Below are 24,690 nucleotides of genomic sequence, written 5' to 3'. Positions count from 1 at the left end.
CTCCGCCACCGCATCTGCCCCTGATGTGTAGCTTTCAGTCTGTGACAAGAGTATTTGGGGTTGGATTCAGTAGACTGGACTGAGTTTCAAATCTCAGTTCTATTTATGACCTGAAGACAACCCTGACCTTCAGTTTCCTCATCGGTATAACAGAATAGCAATACCTGGTCCATGTGATTGTTGTGAATATTATATATGAAAGAACTGGACAAATCACATTTGAGCACTTACTATACTCTTGAAGAATTTGAACTAGTTTAACTCTATTCTCCAGTTCGGGTGCTCCCCTCCGCAGTAGGAGGAGAAGAGGTTTGAGGGAAGGAGGACAGATGACATTTGCAGGAATTTGGCCAGGCATTGTGCTATGTGTTCTCTGTACAGAGACTCATCTGACCCTTCCACAGCTGCCCTGTGAGCCATGTACTCTTATCCTTACTCTACACTTGCACGCCTGGTGCTCAGAGAGGGGAAGCTATCTACCTCAGTGAACCTAGGCCTGACACCAAAAATCTATATCTTTTATAGACACCCACAATCGATTATAACACCCACAATCTATCAAAACTACAATTTATTTTTTTCTGGCTGACAATGCAAGAAAATCTCAAGGTGGAAATTCATGCAGATGAGATAAGTTTCAAACACAATCTCCTATTATTCAATTACCCTGTTATCCCCCATTAAGCCATCTCTTAGATGACCCCTGGTTACCACTGTCCTTCTTATCTCAGTCTACCTCCCACCCAGGCTTATGCTGGAGAAGCACAAAAGTACAAGAGACCTTAGAGATCGTTTGATCCAGCTCCTGCTCTAAGAGCAAGGAAACTGAAGCCCAGAATGAGTTCCAAAGCCGCCCAGTAGAAGCCTGCTCCTGAGGGTTGTCCCCTGCCCCCTGCCCCACTCTTGCCCTGGGAAACCCGTGCTTCCTCCCCTCTTGCCCCTTTCTCAGAAGCAGGCGGCAGAGACACAACACAAAGGACAGAGCGCATCACTATATTTTCCTTTGAACTGTACAGCTGGTTCATTTTACCCACTTTTTTCTTCTAGATCTAGGATATCTGATTTTGAAGAAATGAATGTTTTCATAGAAAGTGGAAATAATAACTCCTTTTGCTAAAAAGAATGCAGAGGGAGGGGATGACCCAAGAATTGATGGTGCATTGCATTTTGTGTAACGTTCTAAACAAGTAAGCGAGGTCCTTTCCTGCCCGGGCCTGAGCTTCTTCTGCACCTGCCTCAGTCAGCTGCGGTGCTGTTCTGGCTGCATCCCTTCTTCCTATGGCTCCAGCCAACCCTTCTTCCTTGGGTCCTGGGCCTTGCTCCCAGGGCCAGCAACCTTCTACTGAACCTCCAGCCATGATGGTTCATTCCAGCTCCCTCTCATTCTTTCTACTTCTTGGGTTATTTCTCACATTCTATATGAGGTAGTTGAGCATTCTGTTCTATTTTGAGGCTGCGCTCCATCACAGAATAAAAATTGCTCAAAATCAGACACATCTGCATTTCAAAGCTAATTCCTCCATGACTACTGACAGTTGTGTGACTCTGGGCAACTCGGTCTCCAGACCTCAGTTTCATCATCTGTAAAATGGGGGAAATAGTATCTCTTTAGAAGGTCTTATGTCAGAATCAACCAAATAGTGTCATTAAAGAGTTTTGCATATGATAAGGGCACAATAGATGGTTGCTTTTCTTCTTCTAGCAGGCTGATTATCCTAAATCTTATACTCCTGCTAAGTCTAGTTGTGGCGCCCCCAGGAATCCACCTGGATAGCGCCAAGTCGAAGTCATCTTTATGTCACCCAGAGATCTGTCAGGGTATGCCTAGCATCATTCTGCCCTACATGTGGCTAAGTGACACTGCTGCAGCTCCATGATATTGCATGCACCACCTTGTCTGGAGCCAGACCGGGCATGCCTCCAATGTCATAATAATCTTCAGGGTGTGATTATCACAGCACACAGAGGCCTGCCAAGGCCCTAGAAGAAAGTTATGATAGGGTGGAAAAGAAACGTGCCTTGGAAACTTGGGTTCAGTGTCCTGCTGTGTCACTTACTATCTCTGTGTCCTTGGGAAAGTTCTTTAGATTCTCTCCATTTTAACTGTAGAAAGCGATAGAAATTTCTTCCTCCCTCCTCCTCTACCCTACCCCATTTCCCTTCAACAAATATGAATTAGGCATCTAGGCACTGGGGAAGCAAAAGCGACTAGAAACAGATAAAATCCCTCCACGATGACATCATGGAGCTCATTGTCTGATGAGGTAGAGGTATGTTCATCAAATAAATAAATGCAAGACTGCAGCCCTCAGGACACTTTATCTGATAGGTTCATGGTGCCAGTGCATGTCTCATGGTGCAATTTGAACCTGTCAGTGAGGTCATGGAATGCATTTTGATGAAGTTGTGACTTCATAGCAACCTGAAAGACAAAAAAGCAGTTACCAGCTAAGAGGGGTGAAAGAGCTTTCCAGGCCAAGGACGGGGTTAGTGTAAAGTCTTAGTAGATGGAGACAAGGGATGCTGGAGGAACTAGAAGGCTGGGGGAGTGCTGGGCAGAGACGATGGCTGGAGGGGCCAGCAGACACAGTGTCTCACAAGCCTTTTAGGCCTTATGAAGGATTTTGGTCATTAGTCTCTTAGGAGCAATTGGTAGCCCTCATATGGTTTTAAGAGGAGGGGATAGACATTCAATAAGTAATTTTTAGAAGAATAAATGAGTCTGTTAATCACTTATCTCCCAAATCACTTATCAAATTAAGTAGTTAGTCACTTATCAAGAGCTTGAATGTACGGGACACAGCAAAGGATGTTTTGGTAGAAAAAAGGGATGGGAAAAATCCGGAAGGTGAGGTGCTGTCTTAGAGTTGAGGCCCAGACACTGTGTCACAGTGGGGTCCCTGGGCCCTGCGGGAAGATCTGAGTACTGCGCACTTGGCATGGGTGTGTGGTTCAAGACAGATATGCTGAGGAAGAAAGGGGAGGATATTCCAGTGTCTTTAACATCAAAGACGCTTTGCTTACTTCATGACTTGAGATCAGGGTTAACCATTCTTGAATATGTTGCAGGTGGAAAAAGAGGAAAACCTAGTGATTATTTGAGGCCTTTACTGAGCCAGTCACATCTCCTAAACCAGTTAGAGGAGTTCATTATCTGACATGGTAAAATGCAGATGTCCAAACTGAAATGCAATTCAACCCTTATAAAGACATTTTCTGATCCTGACATTTACTGACCCTGACTTTCTATGTCTGTAAATTGGGAATAATGATACCTATCTCACTGGGTTAAATGAGAACATGTACATACTGTGCTCAGCATAGTGTCTGGGATCTGTGGCAGCAGCTATTTTCATGGCAATTATTCTGTATGTATGACATAACTTTAAAACTTCTCTAGGGACCAACAAGGCAATGCAATCAAACACCAGCACAGCCAATAAGGGGCAATACGGAGTGGTGGGGACTGTGGCAAACTGGAGAATCCTTACCTGTCCAAAGAGGGCAACAGCTCCTCTTTAGTTTCAGCTATTAGCTACTGAGCAAGAACTCAAAACAAGTGCTTTCTGACTTTTCCAGAAATGCTGGAAATCCTAATGCATAATTTTGTTATCCAATTCAAATAAAAAACTGCAAACAATAACAACCACCAGAATTAGCAACACTATGGAACACAAAAAACAGGTTCTGGAGCAAAGCTAGGCTGAAAGCAGCTAAAACAAAGTTTTACAAAGACCAAGCTGTTCTGGGAAGTCAGATCTGCCTCACAGAAAAGACTCTAAAAGCATGTGAAAGGTCATAATAAAATCAGGTGCAGGCCAAGCGCAGTGGCTCATGCCTGTAATCCCAGCACTTTGGGAGGCCGAGGCGGGCAGATTACCCGAGGTTGGGAGTTCGAGACCAGCCTAAACAACATGGAGAAACCCTGTCTCTAGTGAAAATACAAAATTAGCTGGGCACGGTGGCACATGCCTATAATCTCAGCTACTCAGGAGGCTGAGGCAGGAGAATCGGTTGAACCCAGGAGGCAGAGGTTGTGGTGAGCCGAGATCGTACCATTGCACTCCAGCCTGGGCAACAAGAGCAAAACTCCGTCTCACAAAAAAAAAAAAAAAAAAGAAAAAGAAAAAGAAAAAGAAAAAAAAATCAGGTTTGAAGGAAGCGTTCCAAATACATTCTGTGAAATGGCAGCATTGTTAGAACATGCAGGCACCAACCTCCCTCGGGAAGGATTTTGAAGAGGACAATGCTCATTGGGTTTTAGGTACTGGGGCAATTACTCAAATGTAATAATCTTGAACACACCCAGCTTCTGGGAGCCTGGAAGGTGTTTGCCGAGCTGCTTTTAGGGACAGTGATACCAGCAATATCCACTGGGGGTCTCTCTCATACAAATAATGGCATAGCTGTTCCCAGCAGTTAGAGGAAATGGCAGCCCTGGGACCTGGGGGGATCCAAGGGCAGTCCACGTCTCCATGGGAAGATGGCAGCAGCTCTGTGGCTCTTCACAGTGAAGTGACGACCTGTTGTTAAATGTTTAACAGAAGCCAAACTTGGCTTTTAGGGGACAGCTCTCCTGCCAGCCAGCCAGCTTGCCAAAGGAATCTTTCCTGTGCACAGAGAGCACACTGGGCTTGGAGACATTCTCTGCACAGTGGGATTTGGTGAGAATCTTAAGAGTTTCTGTTCAAGGTCAGTTTGTCTCTCTCAGACCGTGGCACCAAGGAACCTGCTGCTACCCTACTTGATGGGGCTGAACAGGAGATATATTCCACGCTTCACAATTGCCACCTTTCGGGAGCGGCTTCACCAGGTGAAGAAGCCCTGGTTTAGAGATGAGATCTGGGTTTGGGTTCTGGTTCTGCCCCTCATTAGCCATGTGACCTTGAGCAAGCCTTATCCTTTCTCGTTCTCGGTTTCTTCATCTGTAAGATTAGGAATACTCATCTCTAATACTAATCTCAAAAATTGTTTTGAGTGTTAAATAGGAACGAATGCATATGAAACTTTAGAGAAGGGCTTGGCAGATGTTTTCTATGAAGGGACAGATAGAAACTATTTTTGGCTTTATTGACCTTACAGGCTCTGTCTCAACTACAGAATTCCACGATTGTAGTAGCGTGGAAGCAGCCATAGGCAATTCATCAAGAGATCAGCAGGGCTGTGTCCACTAAAACTTTATTTTACAAAAACAGGCAGTGGGCTGGGTCTTGCTCATGGGCTGTACTTTGCCTATCCTCACAGCCTGTTTCTGTGAAGCCCGTGAGCTCAGGATGGTTTTATGTTTCTAAAGGGTTGTAAGGAAAAAACAAAGAAAAGGTGACAGTGCCCAGAGCGAGTATTTACCACCGGCTTCTTGGAGAAGCTGGCTGGCTCCGCTCTAGAGCATTGCAGGAAAGTCAGCCCAGGAGGCAGGCAGCTGTGTCCCTGAGTATCAGGGGGCCTGCCTGGTAAGTCACAATGAAACAGACAGTGGCCAGATGACCCCTGGGCCCTATCCAGCTCCAGGGGCTAGGGTCCACATGACTCTGATGACCGAGCTCAGGGGCTAGAGGAGGGAAGGGAAATGGCCCCCTAGTTCTCTTTTCAGTTGTCTATTTCAGATGGTCCTTATGAAAGAGGATCAGCAAAGCTTCCATCAGAAAATGAACCAATAATCAAGTGAATGGGGCTTTCGTTTCCTGAATTGTCTCTAGCCTGTGAGGCTGTGCTTCCATATGGAACTTCTGAGTTCTCTACGAACTCGAACAATGAGTCATGGGCGAGCCCAGGACTCCCACCCACTTGGAGTCATGGGGCTCTGACATGGAGACAAGACCACAGGGTTTCTGTCAGGCCAGAGCCCTGACCCCTCAGCTAAGATGTTTCTTCTTTGTTCTAGATTCAGTCATATAAGCAGAGGCAGCAGGTACTAGGCCTCAGAGTAATAGTCCCTGAAGAAAATAAAGAGAAAGTCTGTCTGAGAAAAGCCAGTTGTGCCAGTTAAAGAATGACCTATGGCCACAATGCCTTACTGGAGGGTGCTTGGGAGCCCATGTCCTCATGTCTGTTGTATCGGGTTAGGGAGATCCTGGTGCATTTCAGTGGGGAGGGGGTTGCTGCTGGTCGTGTTTTCACTCCTTCTCTCTCCTTCCCCAGTGACCCCAAGACAAAATGCTGTTAGGTAAGTGGGGTCTGCTTAGCCCCACTAAGTTCCCCCATCCACCATTAGGAATCAGTGGTATTGTTATAGTCTACCAGGACCGACCTGGTGCTGCTCAGAACCAGGGGCTCAAGGCAGGGCCTCCCTTCATCTTCTTAAATTATTCTCTAGCAGCTCTGAGTCTCCCAAAGATTGGTCCTAGAGAAAAGACTATGTCATTTACTGCTTTTTCTGATGGTAAAAACATGCATATTTACTGCAGAAAATTTGAAAAATAGAGAAATGTGTAAAGAAGAAAACGTACAAAATAACTTTAGACTCAAAACCAATCTGATTAAATCAGGAAATCATTATTTATTGAGCACCTACTATGTGCCAGCCACTGTTGTTCTTGGTGCTGGGGACATAGCAGTGAAAAAAAAACAAAGTCCTCCCCTTCGTGGAGCCTATATTTCAGTAGGGACAGTCAGTACAGTACAGGAAGGGGCTGGGCTGATGGAACAGGATGCCTTTTTTGATAGGGTGGTCAGGACAAGAGGAAGCAAGGGATGCAGCTATTTGGGGAAGAGTGTTTCCAGCAGAAGGAAGAAGACCTGCCCAGGTGTCGGATAAGAGCCTGCTTGGTGCATTCAGGGATACGAAGGAGGCCAGCGTGGCTGAGATGAGGTAGGGGCAGCCGGGGTGAGAACAGGTGGGACTTGCCGGCCATGAAGAGGACCTTGGATTGCTGTTGAGTGAAATGGAAAGCCAAATGTAGGGTCTTGAACAGAAGAGGGACATGATGAGCCTTATGTTTTGAAATGATCATTCTGGACACCAGATGGAAAATAGACAGGGGCTGGGGGTGGGGTTGGCAAGGGGAGAAGCTTGGAAGCCATTTGGTTATTGCGAAAGTCACACAAAGCTGTGAAAGCAGAGCTGGCCTGGTTGAAGGAAGGGTGGAGGTGGGGGGAGGGCCGGCATTTCCTCCCACTGAGCCTCTGCCCTTCCCTTTTCCTGCTCTCTGAGGTTCCACCATGGGACCCCAGGGTACCTAGGATTACAATTTGAAAGCTATTGGACTAGAGGTTCTCTAAGGGCCCTTCCAGCTTTGCCTCCTGTGCTCTTGTGTTTCAGGACCATGCTGATTCTGTGGGACCAGGCCCGGGCTCTACCAGCCAGGCCTCTGAACATGTCAACTTGAGAACTGAACAGGTTCAGGGTCTAGGAAGGGGAGACATTTCAAAATTTTAATTAAAAAATATTTTTAACGTTTAAATTTTTGTAGAGACAGGGTCTTCCCATGTTGCCCAGGCTGGTCTCAAATTTCTGGGCTCAGGTGATCCTCCCGCCTTGGCCTCCCAAAATATTGGGATTACAGACATGAGCCATGAGATTTGGAAACTTAATTCAGCTCCCACATACTAAACGTGGCCAGCCCTGTGTGGGGATTGTAAGAGGGGATAAGTAAGAGGAAATGTCTGCTCCAAGAAACTCACTGGCTGGGATGGGAACTAGGGAATCACACAAATGGCCCAGCCCAAAGTCTGAGAGGCCCCGGCCCCTCCCTGCCTGGCCTTTTTTCCATGTGGCCCCTGAGCCAGTGGTTCCCAAACTGGGCAGGTCATGGGGTCATCGAGGAACTTCAGAATATGCAGATGCCCAGACTGTGCCCTCAAAGATTCAAATTCAGTTAGTCGAGGGTGGGTGGGGCCTGGGAATCTGTTCAGACAAAGGCCTGGCCTGAAGCCTGGGCTGGAGGGTTCAGTCCAGACAGAAGAACAGAGACTGATGAGAGGGCTTCTGCCAGCTTCACCAAGCCCGTGCTAGGCAGGATGTGGAAATCAAGCCTGTCTTCCAGTGGGGCACGGGGGTGGGGAGCTGGAGGAGGGGGTGGCAGCTCCTTTATCAGCTGTCCCCATCAGAGGCCCTTCTCCCAGGAAGGAATGTTTAAAAAACTCCCAGGAAGGAATTGCTGGGTTTGGAGACTATGAGAATTCCCCATCTCCCCCAATCTCCTCAGCCACCTCAAATCAACCAGCCCGTCTCCCCATGTTTGGGTTAACTCCTTATTGGCTCGGAATGTCTCGCCTGGGTTGACTACTGATCTGTGAGATCGCTTAGTGGCCTGAAATATTTCCAGAATACAAGCAACACTGACAAAAATATTCTTGTAGGGCCCCACAAATCTCACTGAGAAAGAACCCCTACAGGTGGAGAGGAGTGTGGGGTATGCAGACTGGAAGGTGGGACCCTGATTCATTCCAGAACTGGAAGGAAATCAGACATTTCCAAACAGGAGAGAGATGGGAAGCCGGAGGAAGGAGCAGGAGGAGGGAAGAGAATGAATCTTATGTGAATGAATGGTAATTTTCTCTCAGTTACTGGGAAGAAAAAAAAATAACAAAATCAGACCTTGGTCTGGTCCACTAAAAAGAATTCTCTGAGTCAGACTTCTTTCATGGAAGTTGTGAACTTTATCCTCTGGCAGCCATTTATCTAATATTAAACCCCTTAACCTTCCTAATTGTTCTCTTTCAGTATCAGCTGGTTTCATATTAACCTTTCAGTCTTTCCCATAATGCAGTTACCTCCAACTCCCGCCAGACCCAATTCAGAGCTGCCATCAGGTCAGACCTTTGCCTGCTCTTGGCAACACGTCCCCCTGTCCTGCTCCTCTGCAACCTGCCCCTCTTTTTCTTCATGTGCTGTGAAGGCACCATGTGGATGGGTGTTCAACTTCTGGATTGGGGATGCACAGAGCCTGAGGGACACACTTTGCAAACCTGCACCTTGCACTTTTGGGTTCTGGCCTGCAAGGTCTCCTTTATTCTTTTGGACCAAGGCTGTCCCTGGGAGAGGGCAGCCGCCGGCCTGTCAGAGCAAATCAGCCTCAGGCGGTTTCTGCGGCTCTGGTATTTGAGCTTTGTTTTCCCTCTCTCCCGGGAAGAACTCATTGAAATAGTTTCTCTGGGAAAGACAAAGCGTCTCGCCCAGATGCTGAAGGATCACTTGGTAACTGCCTGTCTTGGTTTCCCGTTGTGCCCATGAAGGCGCCATCAGCTCTAAAGCTGACCTGTGGTTCCGTCTCCAAACAGCTAACCCAGACGTCACCCCCTTGCAGCCAGCCGCACAGCCTGAGTTGGAGTTCTGGCCTCTCCTAGCAGTGAGTGACAGTGTTGGAGGGGCCTTGGACACCTTGGGTAATTGCTAACTAAATATGAGCAGTAGGGGAAGGTCTTCTGGTCCACGGCAGAGCCAACGGGGCACTTCCTCTTCTCTTTTCTAGTCAGGGTAGAAAGCTAGAAAGAATCCTAAAAATCACTATCCAAGTCCCCATTGTGTGGGGACAGAGGCCTGGCCTGAAGCCTAGGCTGGAGGGTTCAGTCGGAAGCAGAAGCCGGGAGACTGCATGAGAGGGTTCCTTCCAGCTTCACCAAGCCCGTGCTGCGCGGGATGAAGAAAGTCAAGCCTGTCTTCCAGTGGGGCCCTGAGGTGGGGGAGCTGGAGGATAGGGTGGCAGCTTTTTTATCAGCTGTCCCCAAAAGAGGCCCTTCTCCCAGTTGCCACGGACCAAAGCTCCTCCTGGGAGCTCCAGCCTGTCTGTTCAATGTTTGCCTTGCGCCTTTTCCTGGTGAGGCCACCCCCGGCACCATCTCAGGCCTCAGAAGGACGACCTCACTGAAACAGCCCTTAGGTTGGGAAAGAAGCAAGCCCTCCGCGCCCCGTCCAAGTCTCTCAACTGGGCACGAGCACACACAGACGCCCAGGCCCTGTCCCTGCGCCAGAATGGCCGCTCGCGTTTCCAGGCACGATGCCCCTTTCCATGAGTGCACAGAGCCCTGGGCTGAGCTGGGGGCCGAGCTCCACGCTCTCTGAGCAGCTCTGAGCGGCACGCCAAAGAAGGTCTTTCAGATGGGCTCTGGGATGTGGAACCATGGCGTCCAGCCCTAGCGTCGACTCCACACTAGAGGCACCCTGACTTTCGCCCCCTTCTTACCTGAGTATCAGCTTACTTCCATCTGGGGACTGAATATGGGGCAGATTCCAGAAAAAGGAGGTTGGGGCACCAAAACCAACACCAACTCTGCCAACGGAGCCAGCACAGCTATTTGTCTCCAACCACAGGCCGCAAGGGAAGTTCACGGGCTCGGCACCCCCAGGTCCCGGATGTAAGGATATTGCCCGTTAGACAAAGGAAAGGCCCCAAGTCCACAACTCATGTTTGTGAGCTTAACCTTGTCCTATAAAGCACTTTGGAACAGGCCCAGGTTCTCCCACCATGTACAGCTGCCATTGACCTGGACAGTCCCGCAAGGTCCTTCAGTGGAAACCCAGAAGGGAGAGTCACTGCATGTGAACCCTAAGGGTTCTGGAGGTCAAAGTTGCTGTGGGTGACAGGCAACCAAGACTAAGGGCAAACTTGAAACATAAATGAGTTAAAACCCACAAAAATAAGACAGTTTTAAATAACTAAACTGTTTTCTCATTCTTCCTTTTTCATCTGAGGACGTTTTAGGCAAATGAAGCTTTAGAGTTTTTCTCCTTTCATTGGGTTGACAGTGTTTAAAATTATATCCAGAGCTGTCTAATTTGCCTATTGCTCTAGGCATACTGATCCTCAGGAGGTAAGATTGGATGGGTTAAAGTGGACAGGCTCAGGGGCTGAGACTGTCCATCTCTCTGAGAGTCGGGGGCAGCATTTATCAGGGGCCTGTGGTCAGCCAAGCTTGGCTTGGGCTCTGTGGGAAGATAAAACCAACTGGCCCAGATGGACTTCTGTGGGGCCTGGATACTGTTGGGAAGATAAAGCACATAAGCCCGGTAAGAAAAAAAAAAAAAAAAAAAAAAAAAAGCCCAGGAGAAGGAATGCAAGTGATTCCAATGCAATTGAATTAAGTACAAACTCACTAGGAATGGGGGGGGGGGTTTGATTGGCGAAGGGGTTAGTCAGGGGTGGTTAACCACAGAAGATTGAGGAGGTGAACTTTAAGTTGGACTTGGAGGTAGAAGAGAGAAGTTAGGGGAAGCATTTGTTTTATATTTGGGTGGGGTGCGTGGGAGTGTGGATAAGTGAAGTGTCACACACACACACACACACAACTTTGAGTAGGAAGAGGGTCAAGATGACCAGGTTGGCCTAGACAAGTCAGTACTAGCTTAAAAAGTCACACTCAGGATTCCTGCAGCACCTCCCCCATACCCACCCCCACCCCAATGGGCACAGCACTCCCTCTTCTCTCCAACGCAGGCCTCCTGTCTGGGGTGCTATGATCATTTCCATAGCAACCAATTGCTCTGTGACAGAGACATAATTCTGACTCCAGGTAGGTTATGAACAGAAGAAACATATGAAACCAGTAAGTGACAGAGATCTAGTTTTCCAGTAAGTGCCCTGCTAATAAAGAAGAGAAAATGCACAAACTAAAAGATAAATGGAACAGGAATGAGCAAATGCTAAATTTTCTATGAGGCATCAGCTGTTTGTTTGCTAAAAACAATAGCAACCTAATAGTTTCAACAAGAATGGTGCTGGCAAGGACAGCTCAGAACAGCCTCTGTCAGTCTGCAGAGTAGGGGCGATGGCAGAGCCCGGGTATGCACAGTGTCAGGGTTGTGAGGCAGAAAGATGCCTTAAACGCATCACCTCAATCCTGCACACATCCCTAGTGCCTTTATTGGAAAAGCTGCACTGCTGCTGCTGTGAATCCAGCATGACCTCGCCTTCATTCATTCATTCACTTATACATGCATGCATGCATGCATATATTCAAGAACTCATCAGTGCTAGGTAGGTTACTAATTAGAAATAATTGGGAGAAAAGTCTGAATTACTAGGTATTTTAGAAGCAAAGCTTTCTTACTCTGAAAGCATGGCTGAGATGGTGCCTTCAGCAGGGACTCAGAGAGTCTGATCCAGTCTGGGTCTGCCACTCACACTCTGTATAACCTTGTGCAAGCCACTTACCAGTCTTGGTCTTCATCTTGTAGATGAGGTGATTGGTGATCTATGTGATGCTTCCAGATCTGTCTAGTTCAGAGGCCTGCTTTAAGTGTCTAAACGGTTAATGTCAGAGTGAGTTGATGTGTTCGGTATTTTCATAGAGCAGAACCAAGACTGTTTACTCATTTACCATTTATTTCCACCTTCTGTTGATATTGATTGACCACTTACTATGTGACAGTCACAGATCTAGGCATCAGAAATAAAGGTAAGACGTGATGGTGGCTTCAGGGCCCTCATGGCCAGGTTGGGGGACAGGCAGGCCCAGGCTCAGACCCATAGGGCACAAGCTGGTCTCCAAGTGTGGACAGAGCTCATCAGGTGTGGGGAAGGGCACCTCCACCTGTGGTCAAGAGCTCTCTCCACACCCTGGATGGGGCTGGAAGGAAAGGCAGGAGGCAGACTCAGAGAGGAGGAGCTGCATGGAGAGGGGGTGCTGAGGAAGCCCCACATGACCCAGGAATCTTGCGGGGAGCGGAGAGTAGAGAGATGCAGACAGGCCATGCCAAGGCCCGTGCTCTGACATCATGGTCATCCTTCTCAAAGATCTGGAGATTAACAGACCACATAGAAGAAGGGGCAATAAGTTAAGGAGAAAGAAAATAAGCAGAATCCCAGGAGAGAAGAGCATAAGGTCTGGGCTTTGTGCAGGCATATTTGCCTCCAGGGGAGATACCAGTTGCTGCCTAGTGCTGTCATCACTAAGGCCTGGGGTGAGGCTAAGAGGTGGACACCTGGGGAGGAGCTGGGAGTGAGTGCCCAGACTGGGAAAAGACTAAGGGAACATACTAGGCTGCCAGAAAGCCTGGAGCTTTCTGAACTCACCTGAACCTTCTGAGCTTTGGGCAGGGTGCTTTAGTCTGCCCTAAAACCGGCAGAGGGCTTAACGCATGGTTTCAGTGCAGAGCAATGTCCATCTTCTCTAAAACACCCAGAAAGATTTGGTGAGTGAATTACAGACTGTGGTGCTAAGGGGAGTCTTAGCCAAAGAGACAACTACTTGCCTTTGAGTTTTCCATGCTTGTCTACTTAACAGAATCATGAGGACTCCCATATCCTCTCCTAAAAATTAACCAGTTAATTATTCAACACGCATTTTGCAGCAGCTAGTTGGTATTATTCGTTATGCTACAAATTCTCAGGGCTCAACAGAGGCATTGTTCATGTCCTTGAGGAGTTTATAGTACAGCTGGGAGTTTGCGTATGCAAGTGAAAGTTTATATGCACTAAGTTATATCTATTAAGGGCTAAACCAGGAGTGCAAGCAGAGAGGATTACAGAGGTAGAAGAGAGAGAGCGCGTGTGAGACTGTACATAGTCTCTTGGGACGGGCTGATCAGGAAGTCTTCATGGAGAAGGTGGAATTTGTGTGGGTTTTGAGGACAGCTAGATGGAAAGAGGTCAGAACAGAGATGTGTTTGGGAGAGACAATGCTCTGCAGTAGCATTTAGCAGCTGCTACTTGTCTGAGAGGAAACCTGGGCACTAGCATGGAAAGAGGACATTTTCTGACATTGGAAATACACTTCAATGTCAACCTCGATCCAAGTTTGAATCCTGTGTCTGCCACTTAGTAGCAGATAGGCCTGGGCAAATTCCTTAACTTGCCTTATCTAAATTGCCCCATTTATACATTGAGAGTGGGGATAATGTTGATCTCAAAAAGCTATTGGGAGGATAGAATTAATGTGACAACAGGTAAAACACTTCCAGGAATACTTATCCCTTCTCCCTTTCCTGGCCCATCAGGAAAGCTGCATTTAAGACCAAAAGGAATAATTATTCCAGAAGTCCTCTGAGTGCCCTTGTAGAAGTAGATAAACAGATTGATCAGTGAGAAAAAAAATATGTTCTCATCCAGCCTGTGGGGTGAGTTAACCATGCATGCTTTTCTCCGGATGTTTGACTTCCTGAATCTTTCCTGAACAATGCCATCTCTGTCCTGGCACCCCTGGCAAGCAGTCCCATGTGAGACAGGTTCTTGTCACATGTCCTTTTCCTGAAATGAGTCACTAGAGAGTGGGCTGTAGTCATAACCTTCACCAGTTAAGGGAGGTGAATGTGGATTGGAATGAACACAAACACGGTACTACTTGGTGCTTAATGTTCCTTTCCATCAACATTTTGCCCCAGGCCTTAACCTTGCAACTCAAAAAAGTAGGGTCGCATAATGAATGGGATAAACTGAATGACCGCTTGTAATCCACAAACAAAGGGCCTTTCAACAGCCTATGGTCGGAGGCCTTATCTATTCCAATCAAATCTAGCCAGTTGCAAACTGGAGAAAAAAATGGGTGATCCCAGTGAGAATTAGTCCCAGAAGAAAATTGAAAAAGACATTTTGTTACCTCCTCAGGAAAAGTGATAATGAGCAGAGAAGGGAAAAATCTAAATAACTGATGCAAAGACAAAGAACTGAAACTGAGAGAATTGGATGCATGTCTTCCCCCTTTAGTTGTATAAGCATAAACTGGTTTTATGACGGCAAGCATAAAATTAAGATCAGCAGTGCACAAATCTCTGTGTAACCTTCAAGACCTTTTATTTCCCCAAATTAGAAGTGACCTTAAGAACTGATGGTGTCTTCACCCTGGGCAGCTATGGTGGTGGAGCAGAAAATAGTAGACTGGGATTGGGACAGGCTAAGTCCCACCCTTCACCCTGGCTGGGTGACCTTGGGCATACTCACCCTTGCTTTTCTGGGACTGAGGGTCTTCATCTGAGAAATGAATCATTTTTCTTGATAATTTACAGTTTTCTTTCAAATCCCTCCACACCCCCACCCCCACCAAGGTTTTTATTTTTATGGCAACTCAGATCTTGAACCTTAAAAAAAAAAATAAAGTAGAGAGGACAGCAATCCTTACCAGTGTCACTCTATCACCCTATACAGCTCCTCAAACACAAGCCCAGAAGGGGCTTCATTTTGGTGGAAGTCCTGGGCCTACATTTGTATATTTAAGTGGAACCCGAATACTTGCTCCCAGAGTGGTGTCAGTGGTCACCCCAACTTTCCAAATTCTGGCAGGCACAGCAGGTCATTCTGTGAGCTGTTCTCATTCACATCCTATTTCCAACTGGTTCTGTTCCACGGAGCCCCAGCTGTACTCTGCAATTCAGTTCTACCAACGCTCATTGCATGTTGCTGATATGGCAGGCACTAATGTGAGATGCTGTGAGCAAGCAAGCATAGCCCAGCCCCACTCTAGTAGGGAACACAGAAATACTTGTAATGTGAGCCGAATGGAAGCATAATGCCCTGTGGCAACACTTAGGAGGGTGACGGTCATTCTAGCTTGGGCAAAGCTTCATGGGGGAGGAGGCCTTTGTCCTGAGCTTTGTGAGATGGGTAGGATTTAGGCAGGCTGAGACAAAGGAAGAGCATGCCAAGCAGAAAGAAGAGCAGGAAGGAAGGCATGGAGGCAGAAGTGTTCAAGTCATATTTAAGGAGTGGCACTTGCTGGATCTCCAAGTGTCTTCAGAGTGATGAGCTTAGGAATTCAGGGAAAGGCCTTGTCATAGAAAGCCTTCAGGATTCTAAGGAATTTAGACTTTAGGGCAGAAAATGGGAAACCATGGACATTCTTGAGCAGGGATATATCATGGTGGGACTTGTGCCTCAGGAAGAGCAATCCATCAGCAGAAAGGCTTGGAGAGTGAGTAGAGGCAGAAGAACAATGAGGGCATTATTGCAAAAGTCCAGACCAGTGGTCACGGAGGTCTGAAGTTTAGTGATGAGACCAAAATTGGAAAGGAGGGAACTTTGGACAGGTGCTGTAGCAGCAACAGAATGGAGGCTCTGGGGCTTATGGGGTATGGGGATTAAATTCACACTGAGGCAGGAGAGTGTTGAGAGGGAATCCAGCCATCTTCTCTTCCTGGGCTCACAGGGTGGTTTATCCTGGGGGTTGTTGTGCAGCAGTTCTCTGATGTCAAAAATGAGCAGGCTTAGGGAAATTGATCTACTTTGGTAGAGATTGTGGGCTGTCCACCAATATCTAGCTACCTTACTTTATTAAAAATAGAATCCTTAATTTTTAGCTAGGCAAATGCCTCCTACCCCTAGTTGGAATAAAGACATTTTTCAGTTTTCTTGCATCAGAATGGGTTTGCATGAGTACACCTGGGCAGTGATTTGTCAGACTTTGGGAAAATATGATTTTTTTGTTGGCAAGAAAGCAGCCTGGATGGAGCTCCAGTGACCATCTTAAACCACTAGACAAAAACTCATGTTGAAGATAATGGAGCTATAAGATAGTGACTGATGATGACTGTAGAGTTGCCATACTTGTCCCAGGCTGCCAACATCTGGATTTCATTGACATGGGAGAGAAATAAATGTACATTTTATTTATGCTACTGTTTTGTCTGTTTTATGCAACCAAATCTAACCTAATCTTTGTCCATATAACAAAAGTCAAAAGAGTATAATGCAAACTCATTTATAACTTTTTAACAATGGAAATATATGTATCTCATCTAAGGACACATCTTCCAAGGATTTTAGCACCCAAGAAGCCAAAGTATTCATTCAAAGATTGAGGGGTGACCAGAGTCTTGGATGGGGCAAGTCCATCAGGTCAGTTCTTGGGCTTTAGTCCATCAGGCTCTATAGAAACTTCACCAACTCTCTTTACTGCACAACCAAGCCCTCCACTCTCATGAGAGGGGAGCTCATGTCCTCTAAGCCCCATGTCTCTTTCCACTGAAAGAGCACTGCTCTCAGATTCCCATTTTCCCCAATTCTATTCAATTTGTGTCTTGTTAACATAATCTTCCTTTAAATCAGATGCAATACAACTGAGGATGACTCAGGTCTTGGAGTTGGAATCGGATCTGAGTCCTGCCCTTTCTATACTTGACCTCTTAACTGGCCAGTGACTCATTTACACAAAATATTTTGGGTTGGTTTGGCAAGTGTTCACTGCTTAGATACTTTACATTCAGGATGTACTTTATCATATTAAGAGTATAGGGGATACATTTTCTTACATACTAACTGTAGGGGACAAGTACAAATGAATAGCCCAAACCGAGGCTGATGTTAAAGGTTAGCTGCCGGGGAGGATGGAAGAACCAGTCTTCATTCCCCAACCCTGTAAAAGACATCTAGAGGTGAAACTGGTTTTACCAGGAAGATGTCAAGATCAGTTTAAGCCTGCTGAAGTGGAGGTTCTAATCAATATCTGATAATATCTAAGATGTATTGAGCACTTGCTTTCTGCCTGGCAATGTTCTAAGCACTTAGATTCATCAAACGCATCACCTCACAACTACATGAGGCAACTACTCCCAATACCCCCACTTGCAGACAGGGAAACTGGAAGCTAGAGATGAAGCAATTTGACCAGCATCATTCAGTTAGCAAGTAGAAGAGCTGCTACTTGAATCCATGTGTTTCTCATCGCAGAGCCCTTAACTATTACCTTAGTTGTTCTTAGGGAGCTTAACAAAATTTCCTTCCTCACAATCTCCCTCTTATCAGAATGTATTTCTTCTCTATGATGCCAATTCCATACTTGATGCTTTATCTGAGAAACCTTTACAAACAGGCTGGTACTTGCCCCTTCTCAGGTGACAACATTTTAAGTTTGATAGAGGTTTTGCAAAGGTGTACTGATAAATCCACTGGAGGAAGAGTTACGGGTGGAGAAAACTCTTAATCTGTAGCCTTTGCCAATTTCCATGGTGTAAATACTCCCACCATGACCAGTGCAGCTGGTAAATTTCCTGAATATTTGATGATTGCCTCCTGCCCAGCAGCTCCAGCACACCACTGGGCCGAGGGTTCTATTATAGCTAAGAGTGCCCACGCTGGCTGGGAATTCTGGGAATCCATGGCCAGCCTGAGAGAGTTCTGGCATGAGAGAGCCTTGCAGTCCCCTTCAAGGCATACCTGTTAGGGGGGTCCCCAGCTTCTTTTCTTCAGCTATCTGGCCCAGGGCATGCTGGGAGGTGGTGCTGTGGCCCACAGAGAGGCTACAGACCTGGGCTCATGGCCCAGTCTCCCTCCTGAGGCTCCAGCTCCCCTTCTGGAAGCAGCGCTGTGACCAGCAGGTGGCAGCACTCTCACGTTCAAGAGTCTGTGCCTCAGCAAAATGAGGGGCCTTTGTTCTGAGCCAGAGGCTGTGTCACCAAGAGAAAGGCCCTGAGGGGCCAGCTAATCAGCCTGTCCTTAGCTGACCTCCATCAATGTGAGCCAAGTGGACAGTCTCTGGCAGCGTGATACCATGAGAACAACCTTAGCAAACAGCAGAGACAGCACAGTCTCAACCCACCCCTGCCCATCCTGAGGGCTTGGCCTGGGGAGGCCTCATAAAAACAGGTGGGGCTCCATTCAGGAAGGGAGGTAAATGCCAAGAGTGGCGCTTCCAGTGCTAAGGAGGAAAAGACTCCTGCTTGCTCCCACCACCAGCTATGCTGTGGTGCCGCCTTCCTTCTCTGCTGACTCCATGGGTGCTCAGTTCCCACCAGGTGACCAGCTGTTCCAGCTTGCCCAGGACTGTCCTGGTTTTAGTACTGAAAGTCTCAGGTCCTGGGAAACCCCCTGTCCCCAGACAGCAGGCCAGCTGGCCATCTGAACTCCCAGTCCCTGTCCATGTGCAACGCCTGCCTAGCACACAGTAAGCACTTTCGAAGGCGTTGCTGTTGCAGGAGAAGGCAAAGCAGAATTCAGGTGGGACTATAAGAGCTGACTGACCCCGATAGACAGGTTGGTTAGTTAGTTAATTGGTATTGATTGATTGATTTAATTTATTTAGAGGCAGGGTCTCACTCTGTCACCCAGGCTAGAGTGCAGTGTCACGATCATGGCTTGCTGTAGCCTTGACCTCCTGGGCTCAAGAGATCCTCAAACCTCAGCCTCCAAGTAGCTAGTACCACAGGCACATGCCACCATGCCTGCCAATTAAAAAAAAAATTTTGTAGAGATGGGGTCTCGCTATCTTGCCCAGGCTGGTTTTGAACTCCTGAGCTCAACTGATCCTCTTACCTTGGCCTCCCCAAAGTGCTAGGATTATGGGTGTAAGCCAACACACCCTGGCCTCATTCCATTGGTAAAAGCTGCTCCCTTTGCTTTCGGTCAGAGGTAGGAGCCAGAATGTGTGAGGGGAAATCCTCAAAACAGTCCGTTTCTTCTCCAGCTCACCTTGTATCTTTGACCTCCCTCCCTCTTCCTTCCCTCTCATGCTCGCCCGCCTGCCTCAACAATCTCACCCTCCCCAGAGTCCAGAGGCAGAGAACTCCGTGTTCCAAGGAAGGGTGGAGCCTCTTAGAGTGGGCAGGTGGCAGGGCTGGTAAACAGGACAGGCCAGAGGAGGGGTTGAGGCAGGCCAGGAGGCGCTTCAGCCACCTAGACATGGAGCAGCGGGATTTAGGCAGCCCAAAGAATCTGTGCGAGGTTTCCTGGAGCCCTCCCCCTCCTGCCCCCACATCCAAGCAGGGATGTGCACATTCCTCTTTCCTCCTCTAGCTCAATGTGCTGTGGCTTATCTGCTCACGTCACTGTTGACCCCTCCAGATGGTTCACTTGGACTCCCAGTGCCTAGCTTGGGGAGTCAGGCACGGCAAACGCCACCCTGTGCTATGGCTTGAAGGAGGCCAGCAAGCTTTGCTTAAGCCAAGGCATGTGTGAGAAACTTGCAAATCCTTCTTCCCTGCTCTGGACATGGGGAGAAAAGGCAGACTTCTTGCCATGGCCCTCAGGTTCTGCACAGACCGGCCCTTGTCAATTCTCCAGGCTTATCTTGTGCTGTGTTTCCCAGCACTCAGTGTGGCCATCATCCTGGCCTTCTGCCAGGCCCTGCTAATGCCATGCTCACTCCTGCCTCAGAGTCTTCACTCAGGCTGTTCTCTCTGTCTGGTCAAGAATAGCAGGCAGGGTCTGGTTTAGACATGGTCGTCCAAGAAGCCACTGTGAGCAGGGGAAAGTGAAGCTTTGATCTGGAGGATGTGAAGGGTCATGGTGTCCACCTGGGGAGGAGGTCTGCTCTGACAAGCACACTCCCTGTGGTGGCACCAGCTCTCTGTCACCCTGTTAGGAAGGAGTTAATGGGCATTTCCAAAGGCAAACTTCTCATGGGCTTTCTGTTTTAAATTTTCTATATAACTGACCACTCCTCATATCAAACTATCATACTCAGCGGGTTTGTATTTTCATTCCACTGGTGACAAATTAATGCAGGCATAGCCCTATTCTGGATAAAAATTGACCATCTCAGTGAAATCCTGCTGACTCCTGTCTCCCAGCCAGCACTTGGATTTGGTGGAGCCTGCATTAACCCCAGGGTCTCAATAGAGATTCTTAGGTCTTGGAGATTTCTACTAAAAGGCCCACTCTTCCACCTTACAGAATATAGGTCAGAAGTTTGGGCTACTTCAGCTGCCAGATCATAGTAAATAAATATTGAGTTTATTGAAGAAATACTGATTTTATGACATAGAGTTTGCCAAGTAAGCCAAATCCTAGATACAGTGCACAGCAACTCTGGTTATTAAGATATAGATGGAAACCCAGGCTGGCAACTATAGTCCCAGCTACTCAGGAGGCTGAGGCAGGAAAATTGCTTGAACCCAGGAGTTCAAGACCAGTCTGAGCAACACAGCAAGACCCCATCTCTAAAAAACAAAACAGTTCAAAGCTTTGAGGAGGTGGTGAAAGCCTTTATTGGTGTTAAATACTCCATCTCAAGAGCTATAGAAAGATCTTAACTCTTCCAGAGAGGCCATAGCCTCTGTGTAAAGCACACTGTGTAAGCTCCATGAAGGACACCCAGGAGGCACGCATGCCCAGAGAGGAGCGGCACCTGCTCCTCCCCTACCCTGGAAAGAGCCAGGCCATGATTCCTGTGGAAAGTGCTGCACCTCACCCAGCTGTGAGCAACCTCTTCCTGGGTCCTTGGGGGTGGGGAAACCAAATCCCTGGGTTTGAGTAGTATTTGGTCTTTTCCAAGAGCCTGTGTCTATGTCTGCTTGCTTTTTGGGTTAGCTCCAGCCAATCCCTGTTATCTTTCACAGAGGAAGAAGTATCCAGCTGTTGGGGAAAGTCCCAGGATCTGGGGCCCCGGGCCAGTTACAGGGATGTTGGGTTATGGCTGCTCTTTTCTTTCACCTATTTGTCTAGAAATGCAAACTATTCAGGTTGCCCATAGCAAAGAGGCCAAGGTTGGGAAGCTAAGGCATGGATGTGGTGAAGGAGAGTTGGAGGAAAAGGCTCAAAGAACCTCTGTTGGTTTTTGGGGGGTGTGACTTCAATCTTGTTCCTTCATTCCTACGTGGCCGAAGAGTCCCCTTGAGTGACCTCACCTTCACCCAACCCCCACCCAACCTGCTTATTCACCTACACTGACACCTGCCCTTCAGTAAGAAGCCCCACCCTCCCCAGAACACAAAGTTCTCCCTAGAGTCTGGGAGGAAGATCTGGGGTGTGAAGGGATGAGGGGAGGGCAGTCAGGGCTGGAAGTGAGAGGAAGAAAGGGATGGTTTTATTGCTCCTCTCTCGTACTCTGGCTCCTGCCAGAGCTAAGGTAGCAGGTTTTAAAAATGAAATGAAAGCAGCTCTTGCTTGTTAGAGTTGGTCATCCTCTGTAGGCCCCTTTGACTCGCCTCTCTCCTTCAATAACACCAACTCCTGCGGCAACATTTATTGTGTGCTCACGGGGGCCAGGCATTTTGTGAGGCTCGGGGCTGGGAGTTGATGCTGTGTTGGGGTCAACAGTCAAGGGGACAGCTAAATTCCAGCACAGTGAGGTTTGGGCCACAGTGAGTGGTGGAAATATAAAAGCTCCCCTCTGAGAATTGGAAAGCATCATATTTTTAAACAACTGTTGCTGGAGTTTACCTTCCTTCTTAAAGGAACCCCAGCTGCCTGTTCCCATGATGCCACTGCTGGAGTCTCAGCCCTGAGGTTGGGCAAGCCGGGGGTTGAGACTGTACCTTCTCTGTTTACTGAAGGTGTTCCTGTCTATCTTACTGCCTATGCACTGTGGTCCCCACAGCTGAAAGTCAGTAGGCAGAACAGCTGGCCCGGTAGGACCCATTTCTTCAATGAAACAGCCTATGGCCCAGACAAAAGCCCCTGCATGGGTGGGTGGAGGCTAGGATGCTCTGGTGAGCCCCTTGGACGCCATTCCTGTAGTGGTCACATTGGAATCAAGTCCATTCACCGATGGTCTTAATGTGGACAGAAAATTGAATTTATTAATGGTAGATGTAAAAATATAATCAAACATTTCCATCCATATCATTGAGTCCTATCCAACAATAAAAAGGAATAAACTATTGATACATGCAACAACGTGGGTGGATCTCGAGGCAGTTATGTGGTGAACAAAGCCTATCTCAAAAGGTTACATACTGTATGACTTCATTTTGTAACATTTTTTAAGTGAAACAATTATAGAGATGAGGCACAGGTTAGTTGTCAGGAAGGAGCAAGTGTGGCCACAGAGGACAGCACAAAGAGTGGCTTGTGATGAAACAGCGCCACACAGGTGATAAAATTGCATAGAGCTACACACACACACACACACATACACACGCACACACGCGCACACACACGAGTACTTGTGAAGTCTGAATGAGTCTGGGTTGTACCAATGTCAGTTCCCTGGTTTTGATAATGTATTATAGTCATGCAAGCTGTTACACTGGATTGGCCTAGTGAAGTGTCTGTGGGACTTTCTTGTCAATTTTTGATTGTGGTAAAATATACATAACATAAAATGTACCATTGTAACTATTTTTACAGGCGCAGTTTGTTGGCTTTAAATATATTCACATTATTATGCAACAAACACCACCATCCATCTCCAGAGGACTTTTTATATCTTCCCATACTGAAAGTTCATACCAATGAAACAACTCCTCATTCCCCTCACCTCCCAGCCCCTGACAGACACCATTCAAATTTTCGTCTCTTTGAATTTGACTACTCGTATAAGTGCCTCATCTAAGTGGAATCACAGAGTTTTTATCTTTGTGTAACTGGCTTATTTCTCTTAGCATAGTGTCTTCAGGGTTCATCCATGTCATAGAAACATATCAGAATTTCCTTCCTTTTTAAGGCTGAATACTATTCCATTATCTGTATGTATAGTAGCCCATCCCTGCTTATCCACAATTTTACTTTCCTTAGTTTCAATTACCCACAGTCAACAGCAATACAAAAATATTAAATGAAAAATTCCAGAAATAAACAATTCATACCTTTTGAACTGTGAGTAGTTCTGAGAGGTATAATAAAATCTTGCTGAATCCTGCTAAGGGCATGAACCCTCCCTTTGCCCATCGTGTCCACTCTGTCTACACTCTCCACCCAGTAGTGACTTAATAGCCATCTTTGTTGCCAGGTTGTCTGCCCCAGTATCGCAGTGCTTGTGTTCAAGTAACCCTTATTTTACTTAATAATGGCCCCAAAGCACAAGTGTAGTGATGCTGGCAACTCAAATATACCAAAGAGAAACCATAAAGTGCTTCCTTTAAGTGAAAAGGTGAAAATTCTCGGCTTCAGGAAAGAAAAAAAATGATATGCTGAGGCTGCTAAGATCTATAGTTAGGAATGAATCTTCTATCTGTGAAATTGTGAAGGGAAAAAAGAAATTCGTGCTAGTTTTGCTGTCACACCTCAAACCGCAAGTTACGACCACAATACTGGTAAGTGTTTAGTTAAGCTGGAAAAGGCGTTAAATTGTAGGTGGAATATGTGAACAGAAATGTGTTCCCACTGACAGCAGTTGGGTTCGGTACTATCCACAGTTTCAGGTATCCACTGGGGGATCCTGGAATGTATCCCCCCAGGATAAGGGGGGACCACTGTACCACATTTATCCATTTATCCATCGATGGACATTTGAGTTGTTTCCACCTTTTAGCAACCTTCTGTGGATTTATAATTCTTTGAAAATAAAATGTTAAAAAATACAATCAGAAATGAAATCTATGAATTGGCTCACTCTTTCACCTACTGAGTATGTAAACTAGTGTTTGTTGTTGACCTGTTGACTTTTGTACAGTTCCCATCACAGAGACGATTTAAGCTTGGTAGGCCATATAGAACCTGATTTTTTCTTTCCTGCTTTTAAAGAAGCAACACGTATGATTGTTCAGAGGATAGTATGTGATATTCAGTGAGCTTTAATTAACCTGGCCCATGACACTATATACATGCTTAGATCAAGAAATAAGAAAGGAAATTCAGAGGTCTCTTGCACTGACAGGTGATTTCAGGAGAGACAATGACATTAACATTGAGCCAGCTCCTGACTATACAGAATATGAAGCCATTCTTTTTTTTTTTTTGAGATGGAGTCTCACTCTGTCACCAGGCTGCAGTGCAATGGCGCGATCTTGGCTCACTGCAACCTCTGCCTCCTGGGTTCAAGTGATTCTCCTGCCTCAGCCTCCCGAGTAGCTGGGACTACAGGCGTGTGCCACTATGCCTGACTAATTTTTGTACTTTTAGAAGAGACGGGGTTTCACCATGTTGGCCAGGATTTCTAATGCAACCAGGTAAAAGTAATTAGCAGGAGAGGGGAATGCTTGGCTTTGGAGGACTCATTTGCATTGCA

At 46.9% G+C, this 24,690-nt stretch overlaps 1 long non-coding RNA gene across 1 annotated transcript, besides 3 other annotated features; it reads right to left on the bottom strand.

Moving 5' to 3' along the window:
• Positions 403 to 455: a transcriptional cis regulatory region, noted in NCBI's record as "candidate enhancer chr1.8038 targeted for multiplex CRISPR interference". NCBI's record gives its function as "positively regulates CD58 gene expression with high confidence in K562 cells {active_cell/tissue: K562}" and the evidence as "EXISTENCE:mutant phenotype evidence [ECO:0000015][PMID:30612741]".
• LOC112268235 (uncharacterized) lies at positions 978 to 24,393 on the bottom strand. The gene is made up of 2 exons (XR_002958352.2): positions 10,122 to 24,393; positions 978 to 2,422 (listed from the first exon to the last, which is right to left on the bottom strand). It is a non-coding gene; the product is annotated as an uncharacterized LOC112268235 (long non-coding RNA).
• Positions 4,481 to 4,580: an enhancer, noted in NCBI's record as "active region_1562". NCBI's record gives its function as "activates an Ori minimal core promoter by ATAC-STARR-seq in GM12878 lymphoblastoid cells {active_cell/tissue: GM12878}" and the evidence as "EXISTENCE:reporter gene assay evidence [ECO:0000049][PMID:35858748]".
• Positions 19,767 to 20,267: an enhancer, noted in NCBI's record as "H3K27ac hESC enhancer chr1:117025970-117026470 (GRCh37/hg19 assembly coordinates)". NCBI's record gives its function as "activates a minimal SCP1, AML or CMV promoter by ChIP-STARR-seq in naive H9 embryonic stem cells {active_cell/tissue: H9 hESC(naive)}" and the evidence as "EXISTENCE:reporter gene assay evidence [ECO:0000049][PMID:30033119]".

Source organism: Homo sapiens, chromosome 1 (genome assembly GCF_000001405.40).
Source record: "Homo sapiens chromosome 1, GRCh38.p14 Primary Assembly".
NCBI lineage: Eukaryota > Metazoa > Chordata > Mammalia > Primates > Hominidae > Homo > Homo sapiens.
Note: the sequence above shows the minus strand (reverse complement) of the source record. Positions and strands in the feature narration are given on the sequence as shown.